General features: G+C 36.4%; 1 annotated feature.

Annotated features, from left to right (window-relative positions):
• Positions 1 to 9,397: part of a centromere (Linear centromere model derived predominantly from reads generated in PMID: 17803354. This region does not represent an actual centromere sequence, as long-range ordering of repeats and unmapped WGS contigs is not provided by the model. For details of model production, see http://arxiv.org/abs/1307.0035.) that runs on past both edges of the window.

Genomic DNA, 9,397 nt, shown 5'->3' with positions numbered 1-9,397 from the left:
ACAAAAATATGGTTGCCGAACTTCTGAATTAAAAGAAGCATTCAACTCTGTCAAATGAATGGAGACATCACAAAGAGGTTCCTCAGAATGCTTCGGTCTACTTTTCATGTGAAGATATTTCCAGTTTCACCGTAGGCCTCAAAGGGCTAAGAAATATCCCTTTCCAGATTCTAAAAGACGACCGTTTCCATACTTCTCAATCAAAAGAAAGGTTACATTCTGTGAGGTTAATGCACACATCAGAATGAAGTTTCTCAGAATTCTTCTGTTTAGTTTTTATGTGAAGATATTTCCTTTGTCACAATTGGCCTCAAAGCACTCCTAATATCCATTTACAGATTTCACAAAAAGAGTGTTTCCAAACAGCTCAATCAAAAGAAAGTGTTTAACTCTGTGAGGTGAAAGCACACATCTCAAAGAAGTTTCTCAGTAAGCTTCTGTCTAGTTTATATGTGAAGAAGATTCCTATTTCACCATAGGCAATAAAGGGCTCGCAAATATTTTTTGCAGATTCTACAAAAAGACTGTATCCAAACTGCTCAATAAAAAGAAAGTTTTAACTCTGTTTGATTAATGGACACATCGAAAAGTAGTTTTTCAGAAAACTTCTGTCTAGTTTTTATGTGAAGATACTTCACAGTGCATCATAGTACTCAATGGGCTCAGAAATATCCCTTGGCAGATTCTACAAAAGGAGTGTTTCAAAACTGCTCAATTCAAAGAAAGTTTCAACTATGTGAGATGAATGCACACATCACAAAGAAGTTCCTCAGAATGCTTCTGTTTAGTTTTTATGTGAAGATATTTCGTTTTTCACCATGGGCCTCAAAAGCTCTCCAAATATCCATTTGCAGATTCTAGAAAAAGAGTGTTTCCAAACTCCTCAATCAAAAGAAAGTTTCAATTCTGTGAGATGAAAGCACACATCACAAAGAAGTTTCTTAGAAAGCTTCCGTCTAGTTTTTATGGGAAGATGTTTCTCTTTCACCATAAGCCTCAAACGGATCAGAATTCTCCCTTTGCAGTTTGTACAATAAGCCTCTTTCCAATCTGCTCAATCAAAAGAAAGTTTCAACTCTCTGAGGTGAATGCACACATCACAAGGGAGTTTCTCAGAAAGCTCCTGTCTAGTTTTTATGTGAAGATATTTCGTATTTCACCACAGGCCATAAGGGGCTCACAAATATCCCTTTGCAGGTTCTACAAAAAGACTGTTTCCAAACTGCTCAATCAAAAGAAAGGTTCAACTCTGTGACGTGAATGGACACATCACAGAAAATTTCTTGGAATGATTCTGTCTAGTTTTTGTGGGAAGATACTTCCTTTTTCACCAAGGGCCTCAAATATCTCCAAATATCCATTTGCAGATTCTACAGAAAGACTTCCCAAACTGCTCAATCAAAAGAAAGGTTCAACACAGTGAGATGAAGGCACACATCACAAAGAAGTTTCTCAGAAATCTTCTGTCTAGTTTTTATGTGAGGCTATTTCTTGTTCACCATAGGCCTCAAGCAGCTAAGAAATTTCCTCTGCAGCTTCTACAAAAGACTGGTTCCAAACTGCTCAACTGAAAGGAAGGTTGAATTCTGTGACATGAATTCACACATCACAAAGAGGTTTTTCAGAAATCTTCTGTCTACTTTTTATGTGAAGATATTTCATATTTCAACAAAGGCCATAAAGGGCTCACAAATATCCCTTTGCAGATTCTAAGAAAAGACATTTTCCAAACTCCTCAATCAAAAGAAAGGTTCCACTCTGTGCGATGAATGGACACATCACAAAGAAGTTTCTCAGAAAGCTACTGTGTCGTTTTTATGTGAAGACGTTTCCATTTTCACTCTAGGCCTTAAAACTCTCTAAATATGCATTCACAGATTCTACAAAAAGACTGATTCCAAACTGCTCAATCAGAAGAAAGGTTCAATTCCGTGTGACAAACGTGCACATCACAAAGAAATTTGTCAGAAACCTTATGTCTAGTTTTCATGTGAAGATGGTTATTTTTCACCATTGGCCCCAAACGGCTCAGAAATATCCCTTTGCAGTTTGTAGGAAAAGACTGTTTCCAAACTGCTCAATGAAAAGAAATGGTCAACTATTAGAGATGAATGGAAATGTCACAAAGAGTTTTCTCAAAAAGCTTCTGTCTACATTTTATGTGAAGGTATTTCCTTTGGCACCGTAGGCCTTAAACCACTCACAAACATAACTCCGCTTATACTACCAAGAGACTTTCTCCAAATTGCTAAATCAAAAGAAACGTTCAACTCTGTGAGAAGAATACACACATCAAAAAGAAGTTTCTCAAAATGCTCCTGTCTAGTTTTTCTGTGAAGATATTTCCTTTTTCACCGTAGGCCACAAATTGCTCCAAATATCCATTTGCAGATTCTACAAAAAGAATGTTCCCAAACTGGTCAATCAAAAGAAAGGCGCAACTCTGTGAGACGAAAGCACACATCACAAAGAAGTTTCTCGGAAAGCCTCTGTCTGGTTACTCTGTGAAGATATTTCTTTTTTCACCACAGTCTTTAAGCCACTCAAAAATATCTGTCTGCAGACACTACAAAAAGTCTGTTTTCAAACTGGCCCATATAGCATGTTTCAACTATGTGAAATGAATGCACTCATCAAAGAGAAGTTTCTCCGAATTCTTCTGTCTAGTTTTTATCTCAAGATAATTCCTATTTTGCCATAGGAATCAATGGGCTCACAAATATCCCTTTGCAGATTCTACAAAAGTTCTGTTTCCAAACTGCTCAATCAAAAGAAACGTTCAACATTGTGAGATGAATGCACACATCACAAAGAAGTTTCTCGGAATGCTTCTGTCTAGATTTTATGTGAAGATATTTCCATTTTCACCTTAGGCCACAAAGCGCTCCAAACATCCCTTTGCAGATGATACGAAAAGACTGTTTCCAAACTGCTCAATCAAAAGAAATTTTCAACTCTGTGAGATGAAAGCACTCATCACAAAAAAGTTTCTCAGAAATCTCCTGTCTAGTTTTTATGTGAAGATATTTCCTTTTTCACCATAGGCCTTAAACTGCTCACAAATATCCTTCTGCAGATACTAAAAAAATACTGTTTCCAAACTGCTCCATCAAAAGAAAAGTTCACCTCTCTGAGATGAATGCACACATCACAAAGAAGTTTCTCAGAATTCTTCTGTCTAGTTTAAATGTGAAGATATTTCTTTTTCACATAGACCTCAAATGGCTCAGAAATACACCTTTGCAGAATGCAGGAAAAGACTGTTTCTAAACTGCTCAAACAAAATAAAGTTTCAACACTGTGAGATGAATGCACACATCACAAAGAAGTTTCTCAGAAATCTCCTGTCTAGTTTCTATGTGAAGATATTTACTATTTCACTATAGGCTTCAAAGGTCTCAAAAATATCCCTTTGCAGATTCTACAAAAATACGGTTTCCACAGTGCTGAATTAAAAGAAACCTTCAACTCTGTCAGATGAATGGAGACATCACAAAGAAGTTACTCAGTATTCTTCGGTCTACTTTTCATGTGAAGATATTTCCAGTTTCACCGTAGGCCTCAAAGGGCTAAGAAATATCCCTTTCCAGATTCTAAAAGACGACCGTTTCCATACTTCTCAATCAAAAGAAAGGTTAAATTCTCTGAGTTTAATGCCCACGTCAGAATGAAGTTTCTCAGAATTCTTCTGTTTAGTTTTTATGTGAAGATATTTCCTTTGTCACCATTGGCCTCGAAGCACTCCTAATATCCATTTACAGATTTCACAAAAAGAGTGTTTCCAAACAGCTCAATCAAAAGAAAGTGTTTAACTCTGTGAGGTGAAAGCACACATCTCCAAGAAGTTTCTCAGAAAGCTTCTGTCTAGTTTATATGTGAAGAAAATTCCTACTTCACCATAGGCAATAAAGGGCTCACAAATATTTTTTGCAGATTCTACAAAAAGACCGTATCCAAACTGCTCAATAAAAAGAAAGTTTCAACTCTGTTAGATTAATGGACACATAAAAGAGTAGTTTCTCAGAAAACTTCTGTCTAGTTTTTATGTGAAGATATTTCACATTTCTCCATAGTACTCAATGGACTCAGAAATATCCCTTTGCAGATTCTACAAAAAGACTGTTTCCAAACTGCTCAATCCAAAGAAAGTTTCAACTCTGTGAGATTAATGCACACATCACAAAGAAGTTTCTCAGAATGCTTCTGTTTAGTTTTTACGTGAAGATGTTTCGTTTTTCAACATGGGCCTCAAAAGCTCTCCAATTATCCATTTGCAGATTCTAGAAAAAGAGGGTTTCCAAACTCCTCAATCAAAAGAAAGTTTCAATTCTGTGAGATGAAAGCACACATCACAACGAAGTTTCTTAGAAAGCTTCCGTCTAGATTTTGTGGGAAGATGTTTCTCTTTCACCAGAAGCCTCAAACGGATCAGAATTCTCCCTTTGCAGATTGTACAATAAGCCTCTTTCCAATCTGCTCATTCAAAAGAAAGTTTCAACTCTGTCAGGTGAATGCACACATCACAAGGGAGTTTCTCAGAAAGCTCCTGTCTAGTTTTTATGTGAATATATTTCGTATTTCACCACAGGCCATAAGGGGCTCACAAATATCCCTTTGCAGGTTCTACAAAAAGACTGTTTCCAAACTGCTCAATCAAAAGAAAGGTTCAACTCTGTGACGTGAATGGACACATCACAAAAAATTTCTCGGAATGATTCTGTCTAGTTTTTATGTGAAGATACTTCCTTTTTCACCATGGGCCTCAAATAGCTCCAAATATCCATTTGCAGATTCTACAAAAAGACTTTCCAAACTGCTCAATCAAAAGAAAGGTTCAACACTGTGAGACGAAAGCAAACATCACAAAGAAGTTTCTCAGAAATCTTCTGTCTACTTTTTATGTGAGGCTATTTCTTGTTCACCATAGGCCTCAAGCAGCTAAGAAATTTCCCTCTGCAGGTTCTACAAAAGACTGGTGCCAAACTGCTCAACTGAAAGGAAGGTTGAATTCTGTGACATGAATTCACACATCACAAAGAGGTTTTTCAGAAATCTTCTGTCTAGTTTTTATGTGAAGATATTTCATATTTCAACATAGGCCATAAAGGGCTCACAAATATCCCTTTGCAGATTCTAAGAAAAGACATTTCCCAAACTCCTTGATCAAAAGAAAGGTTTATCTCTGTGAGATGAATGGACACATCACAAGGAAGTTTCTTAGAAAGCTACTGTGTCGTTTTTATGTGAAGACGTTTCCTTTTTCACTCTAGGCCTTAAAACTCTCTAAATATACATTCACAGATTCTACAAAAAGACTGATTCCAAACTGCTCAATCAGAAGAAAGGTTCAACTCCGTGTGACAAACGGTGCACATCACAAAGAAATTTGTCAGAAAGCTTCTGTCTAGTTTTCATGTGAAGATATTTATTTTTCACCATTGGCCCCAAACGACTCAGAAATATCCCTTTGCAGTTTGTAGGAAAAGACTGTTTCCAAACTGCTCAATGAAAAGAAATGGTCAACTATTAGAGATGAATGGAAATGTCACAAAGAGTTTCCTCAAAAAGCTTCTGTCTACTTTTTATGTGAAGGTGTTTCCTTTTGCACCATAGGCCTTAAATCGCTCACAAATATAACTCCACTTGTACTACCAAGAGACTTTCTCCAAATTGCTAAATCCAAAGAAAGGTTCAACTCTGTGAGAAGAATGCACACATCACAAAGAAGTTTCTCAAAATGCTTCTGTCTAGTTTTTATGTGAAGATATTTCCTTTTTCACCATAGGTCTCAAATTGTTCCAAATATCCATTTGCAGATTCTACAAAAAGAATGTTTCCAAACTGGTCAATCAAAAGAAAGGCTCAAATCTGTGAGACAAAAACACACATTACAAAGTTTCTCAGAAAGCTTCTGTCTAGTTTCAATGTGAAGATATTTCTTTTTCACCATAGACCTCAAATGGCTCAGAAATATACCTTTGCAGATTGCAGTAAAAGACTGTTTCTAAACTGCTCAAACAAAATAAAGTTTCAACACTGTGTGATGAATGCACACATCACAAAGAAGTTTCTCAGAAAGCTTCTGTCTAGTTTTTATCTCAAGATTATTCCTATTTTGCCATAGGAATCAAGGGGCTCACAAATATCCCTTTGCGGATTCTACAAAAGTTCTGTTTACAAACCTCTCAATCAAAAGAAACCTTCAACATTGTGAGATGAATGAACACATCACAAAGAAGTTTCTCAGAATGCTTCTGTCTAGATTTTATGTGAAGATATTTCCATTTTCACCTTAGGCCACAGAGCGCTCCACACATCCCTTTGCAGATGATACGAAAAGACTGTTTCCAAACTGCTCAATCAAAAGAAATTTTCAACTCTGTGAGATGAAAGCAACCATCACAAAAAAGTTTCTCAGAAATCTTCTGTCTAGTTTTTATGTGAAGATATTTCCTTTTTCACCATAGTCCTTACACCGCTCACAAATATCCTTCTGCAGATACTAGAAAAAGACTGTTTCCAAACTGCTCCATCAAAAGAAAATTTCGCCTACCTGAGATGAATGCACACATCATAAAGAAGTTTCTCAGAATTCTTCTGTCTAGTTAAAATGTGAAGATATCTCTTTTTCACCATAGACCTCAAATGTCTCAGAAATATACCTTTGCAGATTGCAGAAAAAGACTGTTTCTGAACTGCTCAAACAAAATAAAGTTTCAACACTGTGAGATGAATGCACCACATCACAAAGAAGTTTCTCAGAAAGCTCCTGTCTAGTTTTTATGTGAAGATATTTACTATTTCACTATAGGCTTCAAATGTCTCAAAAATATCCCTTTGCAGATTCTACAAAAATATGGTTTCCAAAGTGCTGAATTAAAAGAAACTTTCAACTCTGTCAGATGAATGGAGACCTCACAAAGAAGTTCCTCAGAATGCTTCGGTCTACTTTTCATGTGAAGATATTTCCAGTTTCACCATATGCCTCAAAGGGCTAAGAAATATCCCTTTCCAGATTCTAAAAGACGACCGTTTCCATATTTCTCAATCAAAAGAAAGTTAAATTCTCTGAGGTTAATGCCCACGTCAGAATGAAAGTTTTCAGAATTCTTCTGTTTAGTTTTTACGTGAAGATATTTCCTTTGTCACAATTGGCCTCAAAGCCCTCCTAATATCCATTTACAGATTTCACAAAAAGAGTGTTTCCAAACAGCTCAATCAAAAGAAAGTGTTTAACTCTGTGAGGTGAAAGCACACATCTCAAAGAAGTTTCTCAGAAAGCTTCTGTCTAGTTTATATGTGAAGAAAATTCCTACTTCACCATAGGCAATAAAGGGCTCACAAATATTTTTTGCAGATTCTACAAAAAGACCGTATCCAAACTGCTCAATAAAAAGAAAGTTTCAACTCTGTTAGATTAATGGACACATCAAAGAGTAGTTTCTCAGGAAACTTCTGTCTAGTTTTTATGTGAAGATACTTCACAGTGCATCATAGTGCTCAATGGGCTCAGAAATATCCCTTGGCAGATTCTACAAAAGGACTGTTTCAAAACTGCTCAATCCAAAGAAAGTTTCAACTATGTGAGATGAATGCACACATCACAAAGAAGTTCCTCAGAATGCTTCTGTTTAGTTTTTACGTGAAGATATTTCGTTTTTCACCACGGGCCTCAAAAGCTCTCCAAATATCCATTTGCATATTCTAGAAAAAGAGTGTTTCCAAACTCCTCAATCAAAGGATAGTTTCAATTCTGTGAGACGAAAGCACACATCACAACGAAGTTTCTTAGAAAGCGTTCCGTCTAGTTTTTATGGGAAGTATGTTTCTCTTTCACCATTAGCCTCAAACGGATCAGAATTCTCCCTTTGCAGATTGTACAATAAGCCTCTTTCCAATCTGCTCAATCAAAAGAAAGTTTCAACTCTGTGAGGTGAATGCACACATCACAAGGGAGTTTCTCAGAAAGCTCCTGTCTAGTTTTTATGTGAAGATATTTCATATTTCACCACAGGCCATAAGGGGCTCACAAATATCTGTTTGCAGGTTCTACACAAAGACTGTTTCTAAACTGCTCAATCAAAGGAAAGGTTCAACTCTGTGACGTGAATGGACACATCACAAAAAATTTCTCGGAATGATTCTGTCTAGTTTTTATGTGAAGATACTTCCTTTATCACCAAGGGCCTCAAATATCTCCAAATATCCATTTGCAGATTCTACAGAAAGACTTCCCAAACTGCTCAATCAAAAGAAAGGTTCAACACAGTGAGATGAAGGCACACATCACAAAGAAGTTTCTCAGAAATCTTCTGTCTAGTTTTTATGTGAAGATATTTCTTTTTCACTATAGGCCTCAAACGGCTAAGAAATTTCCCTTTGCAGCTTCTACAAAAGACTGTTTCCAAACTGCTCAATCGAAAGAAAGGTTGAATTCTGTGACATGAATTCACACATCACAAAGAAGTTTTTCAGAAATCTTCTGTCTAGTTTTTATGTGAAGATATTTCATATTTCAACATAGGCCATAAAGGGCTCACAAATATCCCTTTGCAGATTCTAAGAGAAGACATTTTCCAAACTCCTCAATCAAAAGAAAGGTTTAACTCTGTGAGATGAATGGACACATCACAAAGAAGTTTCTTAGAAAGCTACTGTGTCGTTTTTATGTGAAGACGTTTCCTTTTTCACTCTAGGCCTTAAAACTCTCTAAATATACATTCACAGATTCTACAAAAAGACGGATTCCAAACTGCTCAATCAGAAGAAAGGTTCAATTCCGTGTGACAAACGTGCACATCACAAAGAAATTTGTCAGAAAGCTTCTGTCTAGTTTTCATGTGAAGATATTTATTTTTCACCATTGACCCCAAACGGCTCAGAAATATCCCTTTGCAGTTTGTAGGAAAAGACTGTTTCCAAACTGCTCAATGAAAAGAAATGGTCAACTATTAGAGATGAATGGAAATGTCACAAAGAGTTTTCTCAAAAAGCTTCTGTCTACATTTTATGTGAAGGTATTTCCTTTGGCACCGTAGGCCTTAAACCACTCACAAACATAACTCTGCTTATACTACCAAGAGACTTTCTCCAAATTGCAAAATCAAAAGAAACGTTCAACTCTGTGAGATGAATACACACATCAAAAAGAAGTTTCTCAAAATGCTTCTGTCTAGTTTTTATGTGAAGATATTTCCTTCTTCACCATAGGCCGCAAATTGCTCCAAATATCCATTTGCGGATTCTACAGAAATAATGTTTCCAAACTGGTCAATCAACAGAAAGGCTCAACTCTGTGAGACGAAAGCACACATCACAAAGAAGTTTCTCAGAAAGCTTCTGTCTGGTTATTCTGTTAAGATATTTCTTTTTTCACCACAGTCTTTAAGCCACTCAA

This window comes from Homo sapiens, chromosome 13 (assembly GCF_000001405.40).
Source record: "Homo sapiens chromosome 13, GRCh38.p14 Primary Assembly".
Taxonomy (NCBI): domain Eukaryota; kingdom Metazoa; phylum Chordata; class Mammalia; order Primates; family Hominidae; genus Homo; species Homo sapiens.
This window is presented reverse-complemented; position numbering and strand designations above follow the sequence as displayed.